The 27,509-nt window shown below is 40.1% G+C and overlaps 1 protein-coding gene and 2 long non-coding RNA genes across 10 annotated transcripts in view; 1 reads left to right on the top strand and 2 right to left on the bottom strand.

Moving 5' to 3' along the window:
* Positions 1 to 350: 350 nt before the first annotated feature.
* Positions 351 to 6,012, bottom strand: TMEM215 (transmembrane protein 215). 2 transcript variants are annotated; one of them, XR_929252.2, is made up of 3 exons: positions 5,747 to 6,012; positions 4,553 to 5,426; positions 351 to 3,427 (listed from the first exon to the last, which is right to left on the bottom strand). XR_929252.2 is itself a non-coding variant. In NM_212558.3 (2 exons), the coding sequence occupies exon 2, from the start codon at positions 5,366 to 5,368 to the stop codon at positions 4,661 to 4,663; it is 708 nt and encodes a 235-aa protein (NP_997723.2). In that variant the 5' UTR covers positions 5,369 to 5,426; positions 5,747 to 6,012; the 3' UTR covers positions 351 to 4,660. The 2 variants fall into 2 exon arrangements, 1 of the variants encoding a protein (NP_997723.2); NM_212558.3 differs by having other exon boundaries at positions 351 to 5,426.
* Positions 6,013 to 6,244: 232 nt separating this feature from the next.
* Positions 6,245 to 27,509, top strand: part of LOC105376017 (uncharacterized) — a 104,021-nt gene continuing 82,756 nt past the window's right edge. For 4 of the 6 annotated variants that reach the window (XR_929559.2, XR_007061451.1, XR_929556.3 and 1 more), the window contains exons 1-2: positions 6,646 to 6,909; positions 25,489 to 25,602. This is a non-coding gene — a long non-coding RNA (uncharacterized LOC105376017). Of the gene's footprint in view, positions 6,414 to 6,645; positions 6,910 to 7,364; positions 7,489 to 25,488; positions 25,603 to 27,509 lie in introns of those variants that run through there. The other 2 variants (XR_929558.3, XR_929557.3) reach the window with 2 other exon arrangements.
* LOC105376016 (uncharacterized) overlaps positions 22,101 to 27,509 on the bottom strand; it is a 28,481-nt gene continuing 23,072 nt past the window's right edge. The window contains exons 5-7 of one of the 2 annotated variants that reach the window (XR_929554.3): positions 24,678 to 24,839; positions 22,929 to 23,034; positions 22,101 to 22,227 (exon numbers count right to left, since the gene is read on the bottom strand). This is a non-coding gene — a long non-coding RNA (uncharacterized LOC105376016). The remainder of the gene's footprint in view (positions 22,228 to 22,928; positions 23,035 to 24,677; positions 24,840 to 27,509) is intronic. The other variant, XR_929555.3, reaches the window with a different exon arrangement.

The raw sequence follows: 27,509 nt of genomic DNA, 5'->3' as shown, positions 1-27,509 counted from the left end.
TGTAATCGGTTCATTTTGTAACTCTGTACCTTATTAGGGATAAAGCATGCAAAGCTTTGTACTATCACCGAGAATACCAAGTCTGCAGGCTGTAATCTGGGGTCAGGGAAGGAATAAAGGGAAAAATAAAAAAAGAATCCCTAGTAAGGGTCAGTCCCAGGAACAACTTGCCAAAGACTGGCTATCTAACATCAGTGCCTGCCTGTTTGTGTATCTGGGCAGCATCATGTACACATTTCTTTTGGTTGGGTGCCCATAGAGTGAGGACCCTGCGGTAGGTCATGAGAAATCAAAGTCATGGTCTCAGACTCAGTGGTGTCTACATGATTTTATGTGAACTGGACAAGAGGTTGAATGGAATCTAGTCTTTTATTAAGATATTTGGGCAAACCAAGCATTTGTCCCCATTTCCATCCTCAGTTTAGTTTTTCCCAGTAGGAAACTGAAACACAGAAAACTCAAGGGCAGAGTCTATCAGATTCCTGAAATTCCAGTTCATTTGTAAGTCACTGATAGGCGACAATACATATACATATGAAATACATCTATTATAAAATATATGATGAGGTACTTTAAGAAAATGCTTTTGGCATATTACAAAGTCATTATTATTGTTTACATCTATTTATCATTTTGCTTGTTGAACACGATGCTCTTGAAGACTGACACCACTGTAATCTAATTGTGAGAAACACACCACTGGTATCTTAGCTGGGGAAATGTTCCATCTTACTCCTAAACATACTAGTTCTGGTCCTGATGGGAGGATCTTTTGGAAGAAGCATCGTTTTGTTTCCCACCCTGGGTCTTATATCCACAAGAGTGAAGGGAAGACCCACACAACAATATGGAGAGTTCCATTCATTTACACATTTCTGCCTCCTCTCTCTCATCCACAAGGAGATACCTGTTCAATAGTAAAGTTCCTCTCTATTGGCATATAACAAATAATATAGCAGTGTAACCAGCAATAGGAAAAAAACATACAAAATCATCCATAAAACTTAGTATCTTGCCAGCAATAAGGAATGGCATGATAAATTATGGAACATCACTAAAATGGCATATTACACAATCGTTCATTGATAATTAGAAATACTACATAGAAACATGGAAACATGCATGGAATATAATTCAAAGAGAAAAGAAAAACACACTATTATAATATGTATGCTGCATTTGCATGTGGAGGAAGCCTGGAAGATGATATACCAAAATAGAAACACAGTAGTTGCTTTAGGATAGTGAGGTTGTGGGTTTTCAGAAACCTTTTCTTTACTGTGATAAAATACTAGTATTAATAACAGTGAATTCACCAAATAAATGATGTTATGGGTACAGAGGGAGGCTATTAATAAATAAGTAGAGCTTGGACATTGCAAAAGAGAAAAAACATTTAACAGAATGAATCTTCCTTTCCTACATTTGTCATCTCAGTGGATATTAAGATCCATAGTATTGAAAACATTTTCAAAGCAGCTGCTTAGCAGGGTTTGGAAGAGAGCCTGAACTTAACTGTATCTGGATTTTGTTTGCCAAGATGACTGCAACAGAAAATAAATCTTAAAACAGATGTCTAATATGCTCTCGTTTGAGTATCATGTCTGAATTCTCACTTAAGAATCAAGAAGCAGTTTGGAAAAACAACCCATGTGCACAATAAGTAGGCATACAGAGCAAGAGAAATTCAGTAGAAAAATTTTGAAAATAAAATGCCTATTCAGAATCAAGTCGCAATGTCTACTTGGATTAACAGCAAAATAAAGTAATGTCTACTTAAATTTATATCTGTCTAGGAGCTCTTGAAGGCTACCAGGAACAATCCTCATGTCTATTATATTGATAAGAACAATTTGCTAAAACTGTGTAACTCATCAGAATGAGTTGCTCTCTTTTCCTCTAAAGGGCTGAGACACTTTTTTTCTCTTTCTCTTCTACCTCTGTTCAAAAAAATGTGGCTTTTCCCCTTTTTTTGTGTATATATATTTTTTGACTTTGGAAGTTTAACTCTGAATAGTACTTACAAGTATTGATTTGGGGCACCAGGTTACCTTGTTGCATATAGAAAGGAGTTGGTTAATATGTTAGGAGAAATTCACACACACAATCATACATTTTATTCTCACTGGTCAAAGTTAAAACCTCTCACACCAACATTTGCAAACCTTTATTTTAGCACAGGAAAATATTTCCTCAAATGCATACTTAAATACCTTAAGTATCTTAAGTAGGTAATGGGAGAAGAAACATGAAATAGGTTTTCTTCTGAAGTAGAACTTGAAAACAAGATAAAATACCTTATATCTCTAAACTAGTAGTTGACCCTCAATTTGGAAAGAGACAGAATGATATAAAGGAGTTTTAAATGGTTCCAAGAAATCAGAAAAGTAACTTTTCCAACCCCCAAACCATACCTGACACTGCAAGCATCTTCTTTCAGAAAATTGCAGCATTATTGTCTAAGATTTGCTGAGTCTCTGTGAACATCTCTCTGTCTCACTATCTCCTCATCTCTAACGGTGGCAAACTTCTTAAAGGAAGTTTTCATTCCTAAAGAGTTATTGCATAGTTCTCACCATTATAAAAATATGATTCTCTGTTTTCAAAATGCATTACAATTATTAAAAGTTACTGTGATTTTAGGAAACTATCTCTCCCCATCCCAAATCCAAATGTCAATCACATTTAGTGCAAGGTTGTGTATTAGATTACTTTGAGTTATACCAACATTTTAAGTTTTCTCCTCAAAAATATTTTACTCTGATTATGTTCATTTTATTCTCAGGAATGCATTGTGTTGAATAATCTGCTTTCATACATCTACAAAATTCTTTTTTGAGTAGTAGCTGTGCAATGTATGTCACATAATTATCATAAATTTCATAACTTTGGCATGCATTTTGCTGTAACTCATTTCCTGGCAATATATAAAATGCCTTTGACATAACACCATAGAATATTTACACTGAAAATGAATGATAGAAATAATCAAGTGTAAATCAGTTCCCCCTCCCTTCACAGAGTAGGAAACTCAGGTGTAAGAAGATAAAATTTGCCCAAGATCATGCATCTCATTTCTGATATTTAAGCCCTACTAAAATAATTACATATTTTTGATCTTGAACTTGACTTGAAAATTATGATTTTTTAAAAATACCATGATTCTTAAGACAGAACAATTGCTATACTTAAGAAAGAATTGCAGAGTTGGAATTGAAATACACAAAACATATATGCCCAAATTTTTGTCCTCAATTCCCCTTTTGGGAGAAAGTGACTAAGACTATATGATCACTTAAAATGATCATTCTTTGAAGGATACAAAATACTTCTGATCTTCAAGATGAACTCTATCACCATTCCTATATATAATTCATATTTTTCTTCACCGGGGATCAAATGGCATTCTGCTTGATAGCCTTCTTATCTATTGCAGTTGAGCAAGTGAAATAGAAAGCACATTTTAGGATATCATTGTGATTTGTTGTTTTCCTCAGCAGCAAAAATGTATGAAATAAAGAGACTTTTATCATGTAATGTTCACTGATCAGGTGAGCTTAATAAAATCTAGGCTTCAGTTAAATTTAGTAGATGAGTTCTTGTTTCACTGGCATTTACAGTCTGTGAGAGGAGTTGAACAAATGTACAAATAATGACACTTCCAAAGGTTTAACCATTGCATTTCATACAAATTATGTGCAATGTTCAAGGCTAATGTGTAGACTTTATAGTTTTCAGATTTTAAAAGGTATGTAGGAATGGTAATTATCAGTACATGTCTGCCAATGTTAAAGACTTGGATATATATGTAAAATTCATTTTGTCTTGATGAAAACAAATTCCAATCTATGAAAGTATCATTTCAAATAATGTTGCACCTGGTAAGGAAATAATACATGAATGATAGTAAATGTTTAGAAAAAACCCATTTCAGATAAAGATGCAATAAATGGATTTAAACGAAGAGTTTAAGAAGTAACATAGCCATCTAAAAATGTTAACTTTTCACATAGCTGCTCACACTTATTTTACTTTATTAGAGACCATGATCTTGTCAGACAATAATGCCACAAGACTCAGTTACATAATCCAACTCTCTTTAACTACCCTTTTCCCAAAAACCATCCCATCTAAGGAGGGTTTAACTCTTGTATCTTGATTTTTTTTTCTTTCAGCAAATACCAAGTGTGATAAGCTTTTAACCAGGCAAAAATTACTTTATATAACGGATCATTAATTTTATTTTCAACTTATTCAAACATAAAGCAGCTCAGTTTCCCTGTGGTCAGCTCATGCATCATTTGATGCCTCACATCTGCAGCCCACTCTAGATTTATCTTGCTCTCAGCTGGTTCTGGATAGCACTTTTTGGGTTATTTTACAAAACATTTAACATTGTGTAAATTGTTAAGAAGCAACTGGAGTAGCTTCCTTTCCTACCCACTGCCTCTTCCAGTGTCCTTAACCCTCATCGCCCTTCCCTAAAATGTGTCCCCAACATGCCTATTTACATGACTCTCGGGTACCAGAGGTTATCACACCCATCACATACCAGGTCAATTTCTAACAGTGTGAAGGCTCTCCAAGCAGAGCAATTTGCTTCCACGGGGAGCTGGGCTTAGTCATATTCTATCAATCCAGCCACCTTTGTAGGCAGAGATTAGACGATGGTCTCGTGGTCCCACCTGCCTTGTATCTGATTGATATAACAACAGTATCTGTCATACGGGCTGTTCTGCTTGTAGGAGCAAACGATGATACTGTCCTGGGGCACAAAGAAGATGCTATCCTCAGGCTCAGGGCACTCAGATCTGTCCCTTGCTGAGCACTTGACGTCCAAGGCACTGTAGGTGAGGGAACTGCCCGAGGGGCAGTAGCCGTCCAGGTATCTGGACGTCTCCTCCTGATGCCCATTCTGGACGAGGCTCTGGCATTCTCCTTCCTCCGTGGGTGTGGGGCTGTTGATGGAGCTGGCCACGGACACCTCACCCTGGCTTTGTGGGGGAGGCTTCCCCCTGAGGCCCGCCTTCTTAGCCAGCTCATCTGAGCTCCCCTTGCCGGATTCTAGGTCTGAAGGGGTCCTCAGCAGCTCTACCACCTCCTTGTCTTTGGGTTTCCGGAAGCAGGGCAATTTGCGGACCCACAGCAGCTCGTTCTCTGGCCACTTGGTGCATCCCTCGGTTTTCCTGGCCAGGGCAATGGCTGCGATGCCTGGTAGGCAGATGGCTGGCCCGATGGCCAGGAGGGGGATGTTTCCCAAAGTCTCCCCTTTCATCCCAGAGACGGTGAACATGAAACCAAAGACGAGGAAGACACTGACCAGGGCCACCACCAGCCCAGTCCTCGGGTTAATGTCATCAGGCCGCATGTTTCACTCCATCCAGGTTGGGGGCTGCTTGCTGACCAGGGAGCAGCGTTCCTCTATTCTGTCAGAGATGAAACCACAGTGCGTTAAAAAAAAATCCAAGTCAAGCTCCCACCCATCAACTCTTGTCTTTCTCTTGCCCTTTGTCTCCGACTTGCTTCTTGACTTTCAGTCTTGATCTCTGTCTCTGTATCTCTCTTGCAATCTCTCTATCTCTCTCTCTGCGTTTCTCTTGCAATCTCTCCCTGTTTCTATTTCTACTCTTTCTCTCCGTCCCCTCTCCCTCCCTCCCTTTCTTGTGCCCTCCCTCTCTTCCTCTCACTATTGCAACCTCCGTCTCTCTCTCATATCAACACGCTCCGGCTGGGGTCAACGAGGTACCTGAGGTTTCCTGCCCTCTCCAGGAAGTAGGGAAAGAAGCCAGGCTGTCTCCTCAGAAGCCCCCACAGCAGCTGCCCCCTCGGCTCGCTCCCTTGGTTCTGGGAGGAAAGCCTGGTTTCCCCCACGGACTCTGCATCGGGGAGGTGGAACCTGGGAGAGCGGCTCTCCCAGCAGTGCCCGTCGGTCCCGGTGCTGTGCAAGCGGAGCCCGGCGCCAGCTCAGCGCGCAGAGCGCGGGGCGCGGGAGGAGGAGGGAGCACTGAGTCTGGGAAAGAGGGGACGCGGCGCGAGCCTGGCCTTGTTACATCACTGTCAGAGCAGGCTCAGAAACGCAGACAGACGCGCGGGGGCGCGAGGGGGTCAGCCCCAGAGGGAGGCCACCCGGCGGCAGGCGCTGCCCGGGGTCTCGTCGGGGCTGCTGGGAGCGGCCGGGGTTTGTGCCGCCGCCGTTCCGGAGGCTGAGCAGGGCGACCTGACCCGCTTCCGTGCCCGGGAAGGGTCTGGGGCGCGAGGCTGCCAGTGGCCGGAGTCGGAAACCAGGGTCGGTTTGCCCACGGGGCAGCCGTTGCAATATCCGAGCTCGGGCTCCCAGTCCGGGATCCGAGGAGTTAGGTGCCAGCTGGAGATGTCCCTCCGGGACCCGCACCCTTCTCCAGTTACAAATCCGGGTGACTGACGGCAGGCCCAGGGGCTCCCCGACCGCCCTTCTCTCAACCCCTCGACTCGGGGCGCGGGGGGGTGTGTGTCCCTCGGGGAGCCGGTGCCCGAGGACTGCTTTGGTCCCGGCTCTGGGCGGTGGCGGCGCGCGAAAGCGCTCTTGCAGCGGAGCGACTGCGCCGCGGGAGCGCACAGAACCAGCGCCCAGGCGGAGTGGGTTAGTGGTGAGGGGTGGGTGCCAGGCTAGTCCGGGCCTTGGGGGAGTCCCCGGAGTCCCCGTGGCTTTCCAGCTCCAGGCTCGGGAGAGGGTGACCTTGGAGCCGGGATTTCACTTCTACAGCGCTGTGGTGCCGGGGGGACAGGGAGAAGGGCTCCCTGGCCCCCAGTTCACGAGGAGAAGGGGCCTTGACCGGTCAGGACCACCACCCTACGACGCCGCTCAGCTCTGGGCGATTCTCTCCTCCCTTGCTGAAGCAGGCATTGAGAGCCTGCGTTCCTCCCGCTCTGGTAGGCAGGGGCAGATGGATTCCTCTGGCCCCGGGGGGCAAGACTGGCTTTGGCTGTGATTCTTCAACAGGGCTGCCCATTTAGGATAGAGGAGGGCGGTGGAGAACAGGTTGATGAGCGGTACATGCTTTCATGTCAAGACACTGATTTACTGGAAAGAATTTTCACATCCAGGCCTTCCCCAGTTAAACTAGCTGTATATTCCTGGGCAAGTGACTTAACCTCTCTGAGAATCAGTCGTCCTATCTGTAAAATGAGATTAATACCAAATATATGAGGAAACATTGTGAGGATTAAATAAACGTAAAGTTCCTAGCACAATGCTTGGTACATAGTCTGTGTACAAAAATTACACACACATGCACACACGTACACATGTATATGTATATATATTTGTCATCATAATTAGTGTCTTCATCATGTATGACAGGAGCCAAACAAATCATAAAGGCTGTGAGACTAAGGACTTTTTATCCACTAGGCAATGAAGAACGCTTGATGTATTTTAAGCAAAGATCAATACAAAAACATTCCAGTTTGACTGAAAGGGGCGGCAGGTGAGAGCATAGGTTGGAGCTGGTAAGTCTGGAAGCCGGGAGTCTTGTTCAGTAAGCTGAGAAGTTCAGTAAGCCGGGCAAGACATGATGTGGCCTTAACAATGTCGGGCTGGTAGAGGAGTTGGAAGGAAGCAGATCTGAGGGTATTTAAGGGTTGAGTGAAGTGTCTTGGAGCACAGTGAAGTGAGATGAAGGGAGGAGCCAAGGTCAACTCCCAACTTTCTCACTTTCAAAGGGGTGGATCAGGAAGCAGATCCTTCTCATTTTCCTCTCCATCATCTATTTTGTATCTTTTGTACTCATGACCATTAGACAGCTGCTGCACCTTTAGGCATAGAATCATTTAGGAGGGAAGAAAGGAGAAAATGCAAAGGGTAAAAGTGAGGTGCCAGTTCTTTGGCCACTTGTATGAGGACAATAATAATTTTCCTGGCAGCCCCCCCAAGTAGATAGGCATCTGCCTGTAATTGACCAGAGATGGATGAGCTTTGGGATACAAAGGTACCTGGGAAATTGTTGTTTATTTATTTACCAGATCCACTGATGGTCTGAAAAAAGGGTTTTGTTTAAAAGGAGCAGCATACTGCTCCTTTTAAATACTGGGGAAGCAGCTCGCTACGTGTGTTACAATTATTGAAAAGTTTTCCCTTCTTAAAACCGTTTCTTTTACTGACACCATTCTATCCTAGTTTTCTTCCTATCTCCCTGGTCACTTATTTGTAGGCTACTTTATAAACTCCTATTTTATTTATTTTTTATTTTAACAAACCCCTTAGATACTGATGTTCTGTGGGTTCTATTCTTGCTTCTCCCCTTTCTTGATTTCTCTTCTCTTTCTTCTCATTCTGTAATAGCCTCGAACAGCCTGAATAGGCTGATGACTCCCAAAACTCTCTCTTTAGCTTTGTCATTTTCCCTCAGCCCCAAATCTATAATATCCAACTGTCTGCTTGATATCTCTAATCTGGATGGTATGCAGACACCTCACACTTGCTAGGGACTTTAGACTTCAGGGATTTAGACTTTAGTGATTTTGATCTATGGGGATTTCAACATTAGGGATTGTGGGGTTTGGGATTGTGTCCTTTGGGATTATGTTCCAAACCCAACCTCATCATTCCTTCCATTTGCCAACTGAGAATATTTGCAATTGTTCTCTACTCCTTTCTCTCCCTAACAGCCTACGTCCAGTAAGTCACCCAAGTCATTATAGTTTTACCTCCTAAGTCCTTTGATTATCCCCTCTTATGGTGGTGACCCTAGGAAAATAACTTTACCTTCCTGTGTTTCAACTTCTTAATGAAACAAAGACTTTGAATGAGGTGCTAGGTAAGATTCATTTTAGCTCTAATGTTCCTTGGTTCTCTTGTAGTTACTTCTGCAGGGCTGAGCTGATGTCAGTGTTGTGGACGTGTTTTGACAATAGTGCTGGAAATAAAGTTGGGTCCTAAAGAAGCAAGATTGCTGAGTGGAGACCTCCTGTCACTTGTACAAACATCCAGTTCTTTTCTGATTTTTAAGCCATGCAGTTTATCTACTTAGGCATTAGATAAGACCCGGGCATAAAACCACAGGAAACTTCAATTGCTGTTTAATTATAAGCTTCATTTTCAAAGCAATTCCTTCTTAGAGGTAATTTCAGATGGTCTTTGAACAGCAGGTATACTTGCCCAAGTCAGCAGCAACAGTGGGTAGGGATTGGAGACATCACTCAGGGTCACAATACTCAGAGACAGATAAGGTGTTCTTAGTATTTAATTTCTTGCCTGTATAGTCTGGATTTTAAAACCTTAAGCAGTTCTTGCAATCCTGTAAGCATATACAGCCATGTACAAAGGCTTTTTCTTAGAAGAGCAAGGAATTCAGGCTGAAATGAGACTTTGGCATGTGGGTGTTTCAGAAGGAAACAGAACCTTTTATTTCTGAAATTATAGAAATCATGGCATGCTAGCCTTTGAAGATACCCTGTAGTACATCTACTCCAACTTCTTTATTGTACAGATGAAGTCTAGAAAGGCTTCATTCATCCAATATTACTTGAGTATTTATTGTGTGCTTAGCATTGTGCTGGGTGCCGGGGGTACAAATCAAATATGACATGGTCTGCCTTTATAGAACTCACACCCTCAGAGCAAGTTGTGTGTATGTCAGGACTGGACAGATTATGTGGTGACAACAAAAGACCTCTAGTTCTACAAAAGCTACATGCTCATAATATTATACATGTCTGTAATGAGCCAGCTGCTGCCTCTCTCCATGTCATCTTCACTCTGATGTTCAGATTGACAGAGCAGCTTCCATTTAGGACACGGCCGATCTTGTAGCAGAGGGACAAAAGAGCAGGACAAACCACATGCTGGCTGGTAAAGTGTATTCCCTAGACTTTGCCATCACCCCCATCTCTCAGGTTCCTCCTCCTTTTGCTTCACTTCTTCCTTCCAGCTCAGCTATCCAACCCTAAAGGGATAATAGAGACCAGGCCTGGTGGCTCACGCCCATAATTCCAGCACCTTGGGAGGCCGAGGTGGGCAAATCACCTGAGGTCAGGAGTTCAAGACCAGCCTGGCCAACATGGTGAAACCCCATCTCTACAAAAAATACAAAAATTAGCAGGTGTGGTGGCATGTGCCTGTAGTCTCAGCTACTTGGGAGGTTGAGGCTGGAGAATTGCTTGAGCCTGGAGATGGAAGTTGCAGCGAGCCAAGATTGAGCCATTGCACTCCAGCCTGGGTGATAGAAGGAGACTCCATCTCAAAGGATAGTAGAGTTTTTGGAACTTCTGAAACTTTGAAGGCTAAAGATGGAAATTTTTGTCTAGTACCATACAAATTCTGTAGTTGTTTTCTCTGAGACTGAAAGATGTTTCACTTTCTGCTGAAGACTCATCTAACATCAATGTCTTCCTCCCTGGTGTGGGCTCAGTCCTTTCCTAGTGTGATGGAAGGAGCAGACAGACCTGGAGGTACAGTAAATGTGATGGCCAAATAAAGCCTGGGGCTGTTTTAGCCTGTTTCTTCTCTAGACTTTTCCCAATGTCTGTCTGCCCTCTTCTAGCCTTTCTGTCTCTTCTGGGTTTGAATTTTTAGGTCTGGAGCCTGAAAACCCATGAAACATGGATCCTGCCTACCTTCTCTCTGTATTAGGAATGCTCTTTTGGTTGTAGTAACATAAACTACAGCTAGCCTGAGTCAGAAAAAAAAAAAGAGGCCTTTTTTTGGGACTTTTCTGAGAGCTCAAGGGCAGGAATGTAGCTGAACGTCTGAAAAGAGTCAAAATTGGAGACTCAAACATTGCTGGGTATTTCTCTCAGATGCTTACTTCTCTTCTCTCTGTGTCTACTTTGTTGGTCTCTTTCTTTGTACAGATTCATTTCTTCCCTTTATCTGGTATCCATGTGGAAAAGCATGGCACCAGTAGCTCCAGTGTGTCCATGTTACCAATCTGGTCACCTAGAGGCAGACGAGGTGGTGATCTCTTAATTTTAAAGTCCCAGGGAAAGAATTCATTGTATCATTTTGGGACAGGTGCCCATTCACAGTCCAGTCAGCTGTTAGGTGACAGAGCTGCCAGGAACTCCTTTATCGTAACAATAGGATAGGAAGGAAGTAGTGGCCAGAGGAAAAGAGTGGAGTGATTTTCTGGTGGCTGAGCTGTCAACTGAAGATGTACCTGGTGTATATTCTGCTACTTAACATCCTTCTAGAGTTTAAACTCTTTGAGAGCAGAATCCATAGCTCCAAATTTCATATAGGGATTGGGGGCATATCTCATAACAAGACAAATTATAAGCATAATATGCTCTGCTAAAGGAGAGTATCAACAAGAAATGTATAGAGCTGAAGCCTAGAAAACTAGGAGGTTTTATTGAGCTACATTAAATAAAAATGGAATAAATGGCATATTTATTAGTGGAAAGACTGACTATGCTAAAGATTCCAACTCTTCCCCATTTAATTTATATGTTTAGCACAAGTCCAATTAAAATCCCAAATGGAAATTTTCTTGGACCTTGAAAAAATGACTTTTAAAGTTCATCTGGGAAATCACACATATAAATAGTAAAAATGGTTTGAGAGAGAAAAGCAATAAAGTCAGGGCTTTATTAACCACCTGTGAAACTAAATTTAATCACTACAATAATTAAAGCTGTCTGGTATGGTGCAAAAAAAGTCACACTTATCAATAGAGTAGAAGGGAGATGTTGGAAATAGTACTATGTATTTATTAGAATTTAGTTCAAGATAAAGGAAGCATTACAGACCCAATGGTGTTGAGAAGATTGACTATTTTGGAAAAAAGATCTTGTTTTGGGATGACATTAGGACCATTCTCCACCCCTTGCCCCCAGAGAAAGATAAAATTAAAATATTGTGACTGTTGTCTACTGTTCTTGAGTCAGTTATATACATATTTGTTTCCTCTTTTTTTTCCTGAGACAGAGTCTTGCTCTGTCATCCAGGCTAGAGTGCAATGGTGCCGTCTCAGCTCACTGCAACCTCTGCCTCCTGGGTTCAAGCGATTCTCCTGCCTCAGCCTCCCAAGTAGCTGGGATTACAGGTGTGTGCTACCACATCTGGCTGATTTTTGTATTTTTAGTAGAGACAGGGTTTCACTATGTTGGCCAGGCTATTCTCGAACTCCTGACCTCGTGATCCACCTGCCTCAGCCTCCCAAAGTGCTGGGATTACAGGTGTGAGCCACTGTGCCTGGCCCATATTTGTTTCATTTTTAAGAAAGATAGATTACAGATGGCTGGTGGTGGTGGTGGCTCACACCTGTAATCCCAGCACTTTGGGAGGCTAAGGTGGGTGGATCACTTGAGGTCAGGAGCTCGAGACCAGCCTGGCCAACATGGTGAAACCCCGTCTCCACTAAAAAAAAAAAAAAAAATTAGCCGGTTGTGGTGATGGGTGCCTGTAGTCCCAGCTACCCAGGAGACTGAGCCATGAGAATTGCTTGAGCCTGTGAGGCAGAGGTTGCAGTGAGCCAAGATCATGCCACTGCACTCCAGCCTGGGCAACAAAGCGAGACTCTGTCAAAAAAAAAAAAAAAAAGAAAGAGAGAGAGAGAAAGAGAGAAAGAAAGAAAGAAGACAGCAAAGATGGAGAAGAGGCAAATTCCCCAGTGTCTCATACCGAAAGCCTGTTTGTTAGGAATTGTGCTGGGACATTGCCTGTGTTTTCACTAAAGAACAAAGAAAAACAAGTTTTAATATTCTGAATGAGAGTTATAATTGGATATAGTCATGGGTTTACAATTTCTGCTTCAGGGGAGTAAATAAAAAGGATTATACAATGGTCTCCTTTTGAAACAGTCCATTACTTCTGAAATGACCAAGAAGCTTGACTATGGGTTAGGGACATGCACCCTTCATCTGCCTTACCCACCAAGTGAACCTTGCTTGTCTGGGAGCCCAACTGGGCAGTGAACAATTCACAACTTTGGAGGAAGGTAGGAAGGCATGCAGGGTAATGTATTAGTCAGGGTTCTCCAAAGAAACAGGTATATTTTTAAAAATTGGCTATGTGATTGTGGAAACTGTGTGATTCCAAAATAAGTTGGGGAAGCCAGCAGGCTGGAGACTCAAGAGGGAGAGAGGGAGCTGCAGTTCGAGTCCAAAGGCAGTCTGCTGTGGAACCAGGAAGAGCAGATGTTGCAGATAAAATCTGAAGGCAGTCTGCTGGAGAATTCCCTTTTGCCCTGGGGGAGGTCAGCCTTTTGTTCTATTCAGGCCTTCACATAAGTGGATGAGGGCCATTCACATTATGGAGGGTAATCTGCTTTACTCAAAGTCCTGTGATTTAAATGTAAAATCGTCGAAAAACACTCTTGCCAAACATTCACAGTAATGCCTGACCAATATTTGGGCACTGTGTCCTAGCCAATTTGACATATAAAATTAACCATATTATCTATTAATTACTTAGATAATATCTGAATGATGCCTGGCATTGCTTTGAATAGGAATTAGAAAGTAGTGAAAATTCCTTTGACTGTTCCATGTTTCTTAGTGCCTCCAACTTCTCTATTGGCACCTTTTTAAAAAGAGAGACGGGGGTCTTGCTCTGTTGTCCAGGCTGGAGTGTAGTGTCTATTCACAGGCATGATCACAGTGTTTTACAGTATCAAACTCCTGGGATCAAGTGATCTTCCTGTCTCAGACTCCCAAATAGCTAGGACTACAGGTGTGTGCCACCATGGGTGGCTTCTATTGGCATATACATTTTAAAGTATCGACCAGCTTAAATATAGGTCATTTGAAATTAGTCACCCTGAAGAACAAAAAGAAAAGGAATGAAAAAGAATAAAGAAAGTCTATGGTACTTATAGGACACCATCAAATTAATCAATACATGCATTATAGGAGTACACGAAGGAGCAGAGAAAGAGAAGGGAGCAGAAAGCTTATTTAAAGAAATAATGATAGAAAAACTCCTCAAATCTGGGGAGGGAAATGAATATCCAGATTCATGAAGCCCAGAGAACTCCAATTAGATTGAACATAAATAAATCATTGCCAAGACACATTATAATCAAATTGTCAAAAGTTGAAGATGAGAATTTCAAAGCAGCAGGAGAAAAGTGATTCATCACGTACAAGAGAACCTGCAAAAGACTATCAGCAGATTTCTTAGCAAGAACTTGCAGGCCAGTAGAGAGTGGGATGATATATTCAAAGTGCTGGATTAAAAAAAACACCCTGCCAATCAAAAATGCTTTAACCAGCAAAGCTCTTCAGAAATTAAGGACAGATAAAGACTTTCCCAGACAAACAAAAACTGAGGGAATTCATTACCACTAGACCTGCCTTGTAAGAAATGCTAAAGGGAATTCTTCAAGTTGAAATAAAAGGATGAAACATGAAAAAATATGAAAGTATAAAACTTACTAGTAAAAAAATATATAGTCAGATCCAGACAACTCAAATATTATAATGGTGGTGTATAAATCACTTTTAATTCTAATGTGAAAGTTAAAGGACAAAAGTATTAAAAATAATTATAGCTACAGTAACTTATTAGTGGATACAGAATATTAAGAAATGAGATGCAAATTGTGACAACATTAACATAAAATATTGAGGGTGGAGTAAAAGTATAGTTTTTGTATGTGATCGAATTTAAGTTGCTATCAGGTTAAAATAGACTATTATAACTATAAGCTGTTTTATGTAAGCCTTATGGTAGTTACAAAGAAAACAATATCTGTAGTGGATAATCAAAGATAAAGAGAAGGAAATTGAAACACACTATCACAAAAAATTATCAAACCACAAGGGAAGACAGCAAGAAAGGAATAAAGAAAGAAACTATAAAACAGAAGACAATAAACAAAATGACAACAGTAAGTCCTTACCTATTAATAATTACTTTAAATGTAAATAGATTAAATTCTCCAATCGAAAGGCATAGAGTGGCTGAATGGATTAGAAAAAAAAAATCTCACCAAAATCCAAATATATGATGCCTACAAGAGACTCATTTTAGCTTTAAGGACACATATAGGCTGAAAGTAAAGAGAGAGAAAAAGATGTCCCATGCACATGGTAACAAAAAGAGAGCAGAGGTGGCTATACTTATATCATACAAAATAGACTTTCAGTCTATTTTGAAATTTGTCAGAAGAGACAAATAAAAAGGTCAATTCATCAAGAGGGTATAACAATTGTAAATACATATGCACCCAACATTGGAGAATCTAAATATATAAAGCAAATATTAACACAAGTGAAAGGAGAAATACATAGCAATACAATAATAGTAAGAGTCTTTAATACCCCATTTTCAACAATGGATATATTATCCAGACAAAAAAAATCAAAAAAGAATCAGCAGACTTGAACAACATTATAGACCAAATAGACCTAACAGACATATATAGATCTTTCCATCCAACAGCAGCAAAACACACATTCATCTCAAGTACATGTGGAACATTCTCCAGGATATATCATACCAAGCCACAAAACAAATCTTAACAAACTTAAGAAGACTGAAATCATATGAGATATCTTTTCGAGCCACAGTGATGTGAAACTAGATATCAGTAACAGAAGGAAAGTTAGAAAATCCATAAATACATGGAAATTAAACCATGTGCTCTTGAATAGAATGGATCAAAGAAGAAATCAAGAGAGAAGTTAGGACCGGGTGTGGTGGCTCACACCTGTAATTCCTAGCACTTTGGGAGGCCAAGGTGGGCGGATGGCTTGGGCTTAGGAATTTGAGACCAGCCTGGGCAACATGGTAAAACCCTGTCTCTACAGGTAGCACGTGCCTGTAGTCTCACCTACTTTGGGAGGCTGAGGCGAGAGGATTGCTTGAGCTGGGGAAGATTGCTTGAGCCTGGGAAGTTACGGTGAGCCAAGATTGCACCACTGTACTCCAGCCTGGGCAACAGAGTGAGACCTTGTCTCAAAAACAAAACAAAACAAAAACAAACAAAAATAAAGGGAAGTCAAAAAGTATCTTGAGACAAAAATAACACACATGCCAAAATTTATGGCATGCAGCAAAAGCAGTGCTGAAAGTGAATTTTATAGATAAGTGCCTACATTAAGAAAAAATAAAGATCTCAAATAAACAACCAAACTTTACATGTCAAAGAAAATTAACAAATTAAGTCTAAAGTTAGCAAAAGGAAAGAAATAGTAAAGAAAAGAAATAAATTAGAGACTAGAAAAACAACACAAAAGATGAACAAAACTAAGAGTTGGGTTTTTTTGAAAAGATAAACAAAATTGACAAACCTTTAGGTAGACTACTAAGTAAGAAGAGAAGAATCAGATAAATAAAATTATCAATGAAAGAGGAATATTAAAACTGATGCCCACAGAAATACAAAGGGTCATAAGAGCCTACCATGAACAGTTGTATGCCAACAAATTGGATGACCTGAAAGAAATGAATAAATCTCTAGAAACATACAACCTACCGGACAGGCTCGTGCTTGCAATCCCAGCACTTTGAGAGGCCAAGGCAGGAGGATTGCTTGAGTCCAAGAGTTTGAGACCAGCCTGGTTAATATAGCAACACACTGTTTTCCACACACAAAAAAATTAGCCATTCCTGCTGAAGGATTCCAAAAAGTTGAGGAGGAGGGGCTCCTACTCAACCCATTCTATGAGGCCAGCATCATTCTGATAACAAAGCCTGGCAGAGACCCAACAGAAAAAGAAAACTTCAGGCCGATATCCTTGATGAACATAGATGCAAAAATCCTCAACAAAATACTAGCGAACCAAATCTAGCAGCATATCAAAAAGCCAACCCCCTACAATCGAGTAAGTTTTATCCCTGGGATACAAAGTTGGTTGAACACACACAAATCAATAAATGTGATTCATCACATAAACAGAACTAAAAACAAAAACCGCATGATTATCTCAATAGATGCCGGAAAGACTTTTGATAAAATTCCACATCTCTTCATGTTAAAAACCCTCAATAAACTAGGCACTGAACGAACAAACTTCAGAAACAAGAGCCATCTATGACAAATCCATAGCCAACATCATACTGAATGGGCAAAAGCTGGAAGCATTCCCCTTAAAAATCAGAAAAAGGCAAGGATGCCCTCTCTCACCACAGTTATTTAACATAGTACTGGAAGTCCTGGCCAGAGCAATCAGGTAAGATAAAGAAATAAAAAGCATCAAAATAAAAAAAGTTAAACTATCCATTTGCAGAGACATGATTCTATATGTAGAAAACTCCATAGTCTCTGGTCAAAAGCTCCTTGATCTGATAAACAACTTCAGCAAAGTTTCAGATACAAAAATGAATGTATAAAAATCAGTAGCATTCCTATACACCAAAACAACATCCAAGCTGAAAGCCAAATCAGGAATGAAATTCCATTCACAACTGACATAAAAATAATAAAATGCCTAGAAACACAGCTAACAAGGACCGTGAAAGATTTCTACAGCAAGCATTATAAAACACTGCTCAGAGAAATCAGGGATGACACAAACAAATTAAAAAACATTCCATGCTCATGGATAAGAAGAATCAACATCATTAACATGGCCATACTGCCTAAAGCAGTGTACAGATTCAACACTATTCCTTTGAAACTGCCAATGAAATTCTTCACAGAAGTAGAAACAATGATTTTAAAATTCATTTGAAACTACCAAAGAGCTTAAATAGCCAAGGCAATTTTAAGCTAAAACAAAAAAAAAACAAAAAAAACAAAAAAAACAGACCTGGAGGCATCACATTACTTGACTTCAAACTATATTCAAGGCTACAGTAACCAAAACAGCACAGCATTGGTACAAAAACAGACACATAGACCAATGGGACAAAATAGCCCAGAAATGATGCCATACACCTACAACTATCTGATCTTTGAAACTTCACAGAAACAAGCAATGGAGAAAGGATTCCATATTCAATAACTGGTTAGCCATATGCAGAAGATTGAAGCTGGACCCCTTCCTTACACCATATACAAAAATCAGCTCAAGGTGGATTAAAGACTTAAAAGTAAACCTGAAAACTATAAAAACCCTGAAAGATAACTTAGGAAATGCCATTCTGGACATAGGAACGGGCAAAGATTTCATGATGAAGATGCCAAAAGCAATTGCAACGAAACCAATAACCGACAAATGGGACCTAATTAAACTGAAGAGTTTCTGCAGAGCAAAATAAACTATTAACATAGTAAACAGACAAACTACAGGATAACGGTGGCCTTATAAAAGGAATTTGGAAGTATTCCCTCCTCTTCACTTTTTTGGAAGTGTTTCAGAAGGATGGGCATTCTTTTTATCAGTACTTTTTGTATTCTAATTGATGTATTATAGTTGTACATACTTTTGAGGTACATGTGATATTTTGATACCTGTACACAATGTGTAATGATCAAATCAGAGTAAATTGGAATATCCATCATCTCATTTTTTCTTTGTGTTAGGACTATTGCAATTTCTTTTCTTCCAGCTATTTTGAAATATATAATAAATAATTTTTAACTACAATTTCCCTACTGTACCATCAAACACTAAAACTTATTTTTTCCTGTGATTTTGTACCCAATTAACCAACTTCTCTTTATCCCTTCCCTCCCATTTCCCTTCCTTGCCTCTAGTAAACCACCATTATACTCTCCACCTCCATGTAATCCACTTTTTAAGCTCCTACATATGAGTAAGAACATGTGTTATTTGTCTGTCTGTGCCTAGCTTATTTCACTTACATAATGACCTGCAGTTTCATCCATGTTGCTGCAAATGACAGGGTTTTATTCTTTAATATGGCCAAATAATGTTCCATTGTGTATATTTACCACATTTTCTTTATCCATTCATCTATCAACAGACTCAACTTCATTCCAAATCTTGGCTATTGTGAATAGAGCTGTAAAGAACATGGGGTTGCAGATATCTCTTCAATGTACTAATTTGATTGGCATTAATTTGTCTTTAAGTGTTTGGTAGAATGCACCAGTGAAGTCATCAGGTCCTGGGCTTTTCTTTCATGGAGGTTTTTGATTACTTAGTCATTCCACTTACTTTTATTATTTGTCTGTTCAGATTCCTTTTCTTTTATTTTCTTCCTTCCTTCCTTTCTTTCTCTTTCTTTCTTTTCTTTCTTTCTTTCTTTCTTTCTTTCTTTCTTTCTTTCTTTCTTTCTTACTTTCTCTTTCTTCTTTCTTTCTTTCTTCTTTCTTTCTCTTCTTTCTTTCTCTCTCTTTCTTTCCTTTTCTTTCTTTCTCTCTTTCTTTCTTTCTTAGGCAGAGTCTCACTCTGTTGCCCAGGCTGGAGTGCAGTTGCATGATATTGGCTCACTGCATGCTCCGCCTCCTGGGTTCATGCCATTCTCCTGCCTCAGCCTCCCGAGTAGCTGGGACCACAGGCGCCCGCCACCACGCCTGGCTAATTTTTTGTATTTTTAGTAGAGGCGGGGTTTCACTGTGTTAGCCAGGATGGTCTCGATCTCCTGACCTCGTGATCTGCCTGCCTTGGCCTCCCAAAGTGCTGGGATTACAGGTGTGAGCCACTGTGCATGGCCTCTTTCTTTTCTTTTTTTCTTTTCTTTCTTTTCTTTTCTTCTCTCTCTCTCTTTCTTTCTTTTCTTTTCTCTCCTCCTCCTCCTCCTCTTCCTCCTCCTCCTCCTTCTTCTCTCTCTCTCTCTCTCTCTCTCTCTGTCTCTCTTCTTGTTTATTTGTTTGAGACAGTGTCTTATACTGTTGCCTGGGCTGGAATGGAGTGGTGGGCTCACTGCAGCCTCAATCTCCCAGGCTCAAGCAATCATTCCACCTCAGCCGCCTGAGTAGCTAGAACTACAGGTGCACACCACCATGCCTGGCTAATTTTCACAAATCTTAAGTTAAAAATGAAAGATGGTGCAAGTTAAGGGTTTTAAATTTAGGGTTCTGAATATAAAAGCCTTTTAGGTATCTGAGTGGTTCCAGCCAAACATCCATTTGCTCTCGAGAACTGAGCATATTCAACAGTTTAGATCTTTCCCCATGTTGTCTCTCTTTTGATTCTGTATGTTTGGGACAGGAATAAAGAAAGGGCAAGGAAATAGACTGTAAGGAATCACAAAGAGTTGGAAATAGAGAGTTCTGATGTGGTTTGATCCCCCAAAAGATTGATTTGTTTTTTTTTCAAAAAATTATTTTTTAATTGACAAAAATTATGTATATTTATGGTATACAACATGATGTTTTGATATTATGAAATGGAAAAATCAAGTATTTTGTGTATGTGTTACCTCCCATACTTAACATTTTTTGGGGGTGAGGACACTTAATATCTATTCCCTTATCAATATGTTGTATCTTTTCAGGCATCATATTTATTATTAACTGTAGTCACTGTGATGTACTAAAGATCTCTTGACCTTATTCTTCTCAACAGAAATTTTGTGTCCTTTGACTGACATCTTGCCATAACCTGATTAAAATTCTCGTGTACTAAACATATTAGTACTGTAGCATATTTGGCCTTTAGATAATATATTTGCTATCGTATATATTTTGATAATATATCTATTAACACAGAAACTACCAACTTATTTTCCTATTTTACTCAATAGGCATTAAAAAGGTTTCTTCAGAAACGATCAGAGTCATATGCTAATATTCGTATATAAGGATATTAATTGCAACATTAATTTTAGTATGGAAAAATATGAATTGGCTATATGAATCATATTACATCAATACACTGAGATATCATAGTCATGAAAAATGAACTTGCAGCTTGGATCAATATGGCAGCCCAAACTCATATGCCTCCCTTTTCTCAGTCTCCCAAAATTGAGAAATGGGATTAGAGATCTGGTGAGTGTGCATTTTAAGATTAATTCCACCACAGCCCTGGAAAATAGAAAGTCATCAGTAGAGCAAAAATATTGAGAGATCTCTAAAAGACAGAAAGTGGATAAAACATAACTGATGAAGAAATTCATATAATCTACCTAGATTTGCCAAAATTATCTGACAGTGTTGCACCTTGATCTACTGTAAGTGCTACCTGGGCCCGATGGTGATGGTATTCCCAAAGCTTTGGAAATAAGGTTACCCTCTGAGTGTTAAAAAAAAACCATACACAATAAAAGAGTATCCAGATGTTGGATAAAACCCAGACCTTGTTTCTTCCTCCTGGAAGTGAGCTGTCTATAAGAAACAGAAAGTAGCCCCTCCCTTCACATGGAAGGCACGTTCGGCTCCTCCTCCTTTTTGGCGAGCATGGAAAATGCTTTTTGGCTACATGGTATATCTTGAGGTCTATAATTTATTGGAGTCACACAAATATGTGTGACTGAAGAGTTTTGGCATAAGGGGAACAAGGAGGGTTTCTGTGGTCTAAAATTATCTCCTTTCTGATCTGGGTGCTGGTTAAATGAGTGAGTTCTATTTGTGAAAATGTATTCAGATGTACATCAATGGTTTGGCTCCTTTATGTATATGATGCTTCAATAAATGTTAATGTAAAAATTAACAATAATTTATTGTATATTTTAAAATAGCAAAAAGAGTGGAATTAGACTATTCCTAACACAAAGACATGATAAATGCTTGAGGTGATGGACATCCCAATTACGCTGATTTGAATATTACACACTGTATACCTGTATCAAAATATCACATGTACTCTATAAATATATACAACTATTACATACCCATAATAGTTAAAAATAAAAAATTTAAAGTAAATAAAGTAATAACAAAAGCAAATCTGAAAAAAACTGGAATTTAAAAGGCATGCTTAAAAATCTAAAATTAAAATAAAAAACAGCTTTTTAAAATTTATACTCTATCATAGCCATTGAAATTATTTTAACTCATTAATATCAATCATTTTGTGCTCAGAAATATTTGAAGGATAACATTCGAAATGGTGCTTTTTGCTATTAACACATTAACATTACTGCTATCTATTAAACATATTTGACAATATAAAATTTCTAATCCAAAAAAATTAATGTAAAAATGTATGTAGACAAGTGCTTCTCTGCCTACCTGCATCATGTCTCCCAAATTAGTAATAAAAACTTAAACCAATTGCCATTTTATCTTTTGAGCCTAACTTTCAGAGAAATGTCTTATTCTACCCAAGATTCTTTTATTTCAAGGAAGAAAAAGCCATTTGAGGTAACTCTAAACCAGGGACACTATTGAAAGGATACTGGAAAATCTCACCAATTGTAAGGGCAGGAAGTATTGCTGGCCTTGGGTGTCTGGATATTGGCATCTTTGAAGGGCAGTCACTAATGGCACCTCTCTTCACCATGTGGTGCTGAAGAAATTGAGGAACAGAACAAAGGAGGCCAAAACACGCCTCTATTACTGATGGAGACGGGGCTGGAGGATGTGCCTTTCAGTCTATTAGCTAAGCATCTTTATCAACTCCAACCTCAGAATTCAGTTGACTTTACCCCATTCTGAGAAAACTGGACCTGGGCAGACCCTGCCTGGAGGAGGAGAAGATGCCTTCCATGTGAAGGGACAGGCTACTTCCTGTTTCTTTCACTTCCAGGAGGAAGAACAAGCCAGGCACACCCAGTTATTCTCCCAAATTTACCAGCTAGATAAGTAACTCACCTCAGAGTACGGAGAAGCCAAGATTGCATTAGGAAAAATCCCTCATTGTGGGAACCAGGAATAGGGACAAAGCCCTTTCTTTCTTGGACACTGTGATTGAGTTACTTCCTTTCTCCCAGTGTCTGTGTGTTCTCTCATCTCAACCTCTCAGCACATTTGCTTTGTTCCTGTCATCTCCCCTGGCGTCCACTTCTTATTCTTACCCTTGGCCTGATATGGTGGCCTCACTCCCTTAGTTTACCTCACTATCCAGCTTGGCTCCCACAGCTGACGCACTTGCCCTCCCAGTGTCCCCACTCCAAATTTCCAGCTCATCTTTTAAATCCAGGCTGCCCAAGACTCAAGCCAACAGCCAGTCAAATCGTTCATTCACTTGGTCAGACTAACGAAACTCACAGGAGGCTGATATATAAACCAGAAAGCCACTTCACTGATCTTCAGAGAGATGTGTTACTTTCCAGTGACTCAAATGTTCATATCTTCAGGAAACCGTAGTGGAAATCTGAATTTGTGATAATAAGCATTATTGACAATTTGTTAAGTGGGATAATGCTTTTTGGCTACATGGTATATCTTGAGGACTATAATTTACTTTAAAATAATTCAAAATAAAAATAGAGTATAAAATAAGGAGAGGCATCCATTTTGGTAAACAGTTTTGTAGCTTCTTACAAAATAGAGTTACTATATGACCCAGAAATTCTGCTCCTAAGTATCTACCCATGAGAAGTGAAAACATATATGCACATAAGAACTTGAACACACATGTTCATAATAGTATTACTCACAATAGCCAAAAAGTTGAGACAATCCAAATGTCTATCAACTGATAAATGAATAAACAAAATATGTTATAACCATGCAGTGAAATACTATTTGGCAATAAAAATTAACAAAGTATTAGTACATGTGCAACATGGAGGAACCTCAAAAACATTATGATTAGTGAAAGATGTCAGACACAAAGCAACGCATGGTATATAATTCCATTTGTACAAACTTTTCCGAAAAGGCAAATCCATAGAGATAGAAATAGATTAGTAGTTGCCTAGCCCTGGGGGTGGGAATGGAGAGTGACTGTAAGTGGGCACTAGGTCATTATACTTTCCCTTCTCATGGTCAAGCAAATGCTCTGTGTCCATGTCATGAAGATACTGAGTACCTACTGTGAGCTGGGCATTGTGATTGGTGCCAGATCTCAACTCCTAGAGACTGTGGGTAGAGTGGAAGGAATACTGGCTTAGGAGTCAGAAAATGTGGCTTCTTGTCCTGGCTCTGCTTTTCACCCGCTAGGTGAGCTGACCCTGTCACTTAGTATTTTACCTTGTTTTATTTAAGTGCCTTATTTGGGTGTCTGGCTATCATGATGGAGGGGACATTTGTCTGACTCTTCTAGACAGAGGTCTTCTATATTTTATAATATTTTATAATGCTTTATTTAAAAAAACTCATTTTAATTGCTCACCTTTGGTGGGCACAAAAACTTATAGTTCTGGCATAGCACTTACCATAGTGTATGACAATTTAATCTCTCTACACATGTGTACAGACTGTGCTCTTCTCAAGTGCAGGGAGGCCTATTCTGTGTGTGAGCTCCAGCACCTGACACACTGTCTGGCCAAGACTAAGCAAGCATTCAATACATGTTTGGTGAAAGAATAAATGAGCCTCACTGGTAAACGGGGATCCTAGCAGACACTGCAGGTGCCCGGGCTAACCCCTTGGAATTTGCCTCTTCACTTAGGCTGCTTCCTGAAAACTCCTGTCACCCTGAGCTTTTCTTCTGGCTGAGGGAGAACACTGGCCTTGGGGGCAAGGAAAGCTGGACGTGCCAGAGTGAATGGCTCTGGAGCTGTCCTCGACCAAGGATGGATGGGGAGTCAGTGGATAAAACCCCGACTTCTTCAGCCCACAGTTGGGATAAATAAGGCCAATCTACTGTTTCTTGGAGTCTCCAGGGGAATTTGTGCTCCAGTTTCCCAGGGGTAGCTGGCTGATTTCCTACCCCGAATTGCTTTCCTTCCCGTCTCTATCTTACTTCCCCACACCCTGCCTGTGCTTTCTAGGATCACCTCCCAAATAAACGACCTGCACTTAACTCCCTGCCTCAGGGTCTTGCTTCTGGGGAACCCAAATCCTGCCTACCTTAAAGGTTCTTATGGTCGTTGGGGACTCTGTGTTCTCTTTTCATTTGCAGCCCAGACCACATAGAGCTCTTCTGAAATGTACTATGACTCCATCCTTCTTCCCTTAGGATTCACAATTTGCTGGGAATCACCACTTCATTCTTCTTAGTCCAAAGCTGGACTTTTTAGAGGTTTAAAATAAAATTTTGAGATAATCAAGGAAATTTGAACATGAATTGATACTAAAGAATCGTTAATTTTGTTAGTGTTATAGGCATGATGGCTATGTCAGAAAACATCAATATTTTTTAGAACTTCACAGTGACCTATGTAAGGGACAATACAACAGAAAGGAAGAAAGGAGGGAAGGAGAAAGGGAGAGAGGGAGAAAGGAAGAAAGATTCCACTTCTAAGAAGACAGAAAGAGAAGGAAAGATGTAAAGAAGAAAAGAAAGAAAGCGGAGGAAATAAAGAGGGACAAATGAATCAAGTATGGAAAAAGCTTGAGAGTTATTAGGTTGGTGCAAAAGTAATTGCGATTTTTGCCGTTACTTTCAATGGCAAAAACCGCAATTACTTTTGCACCAACCTAATAGTAAATTTAAGTGATGAGTATATAGATGTTCATTGTATTATTGTGTGTCTTTTAAAATATTGTGAGATTTGTTGGAAAATTTAAATGACTAAAAAGAATATTTAAAAAGACTTCTGAGACAACTGCAGGAAATGATTGTGAGCGTGGGCTCTGAAGTTTCTTGGGTTTCAATCTGGGATCCTGTACTATCTAGCTGTGTGACCTTGGGCAAGTTACTCAACCTCTGTGTTCTCAGTTTCCGTTTAGGTAAAATGGATAGAATAATAGTACTTACCTCAAAGGATTGTTGAAGAGAATCAACAAGATGATATCCCTGAAGCACTGGGAATAGTGTCTGGCACACAGCACTGTAAGTGTTTATTATTACTACATACTATCATATAATGTTATATAATATCTTATTATTGTATTACTTAGTATTGTCTATTACACTAGTTCAATGGCATTCAACTGGGAGTAATTATGACTCTGTAGGAGACATTTGGAAATATTTAGAGATGTTTTGGTTGTTGCAACTAGGAGTGCTGCTGGCATCTAGTGGGCAGAGGCCAGGTGTATTAGTCTGTTCTCACATTGCTATAAAGAACTACCCAAGACTGGGTAATTTATAAAGAAAAGAGGTTTAATTGGCCCATGGTTCTGTGGGCTGTACAGGCTTCTGCTTCTTGGGAGGCCTCAGGAAACTTACAATCATGGAGGAAGGTGAAGGGAAAGCAAGCACCTTCTTCACATGGCGGCAGGAGAGAGAGAGAGAGAGGTGGGGGAAGTGCCACTTTTAAACCATCAGACCTGGTAAGAACTCACTCACTGTCATGAGAACAGCATAGGGGAAATCTGCCCCCATGATCCAATCACTTTCCACAAGGTCCCTTCCCCAATATTAGGAATTACAATTCAACATGAGATTTAGGTGGGGACACAGATCCAAACCATATCACCAGGGAAGCTGCTAAATATCCTATGCTTCAGAGGACAGCTCCACAGCAAATAATTATCTAGATCAAAATGTCAGTAGTGCTGAGGTTGAGAAACTCTGCAGTAGTGTTAGTAGGACATTGCAAAAAATATTTGAAAATACAGATAAGCAAAATAAAGAATAACCATTATCCATAATTCCACCATGCAGGAGCTATCACTATCCAAAGCTAGCTTCATCAAAATTAAGATGAGTCATAAAGAAAAAGCTCCTTTATCTCACTGCAGTGAGATATGAAGACAGTCGTGACCTGGGTTCATTTCTCCAAAACTGTCACAATGTGAGGAAAGTTATCCAACTTATTCATACCTCTGGGAAATGTACCATTTGGCATTTGACTAGGCTGTTATTTTCTATTAGAATGAAAGTGAATGAAACACAAGGAAACTATTTGAAGTCATTAATGATCTATCTCAAAAGTCTTGGTGGGAACCTACCCTAATACCATTTTTCTGAAAAACAAAACAGAACAAACAAAACAACAACAACAAACAACAAAAACAAAAACAAAAAAACTTGGCAGATCATATCAAAACCCTTTTAAAAGTCCATATTCTTTGAATTAGCAATTCCACTTCTAAAAACTTATATGAAAGAAATGATTAGAAAACATGCAAAGATGTTTGTACATTATTTACTGCCAACTGTATTGTTTTTAATTGTGAAAAATTGAAAGGACCTAAGTTGGAAACAACTAGTCAGTAGGGATTGGTTTATTACCTTCTAGTATGTCTATGCAGTCATTTCTTAAAAGACAATGTTTTCCTATGTAATGGTTACTTATGTAGAAAGATAGTCATAATGTATTCAGTGAAAAACAACCACAGGAAAGGACTGGAAGGGCTAATGTGTCACTGGGTGTCATGCAAAGGCTATAGGTGAACACCAGCAAACATTGTGGCAGGGGCTGGAGCTCACTGGGAGAAGGGTGAGAAGAGGCACCCCATCATCTCCAGCACCCTATGGGGGAAGCATGCTTGGGTCAAGGTGCAGCTGGACGCATTTGAGGACTGAGTTCTAGCAAGAGAACCTCACCCTCTGTTGCTGTCCTTTTTAATGGACCAGCCTTGTTATTGAGTAACAAATATTTTGCATTCAGTTGCTAAGCCAGGTCTACGTTTAGGTGCAGCTCTTTAGGGAGCTTCCTGAAGCCCCTGGAGTCTTCGGCTCCCCTGGTCCTGGGGGAAGTTGGTTTGAGCACAGCCACTTCTACTGCAAGGAGTATCAGTCCAAGGTCCCAGCTAGCTCATTGCCAGCAGCCTAGAAAGAGTTGTGAGGGT

Source organism: Homo sapiens, chromosome 9 (genome assembly GCF_000001405.40).
Source record: "Homo sapiens chromosome 9, GRCh38.p14 Primary Assembly".
Lineage (NCBI taxonomy): Eukaryota > Metazoa > Chordata > Mammalia > Primates > Hominidae > Homo > Homo sapiens.
Note: the sequence above shows the minus strand (reverse complement) of the source record. Positions and strands in the feature narration are given on the sequence as shown.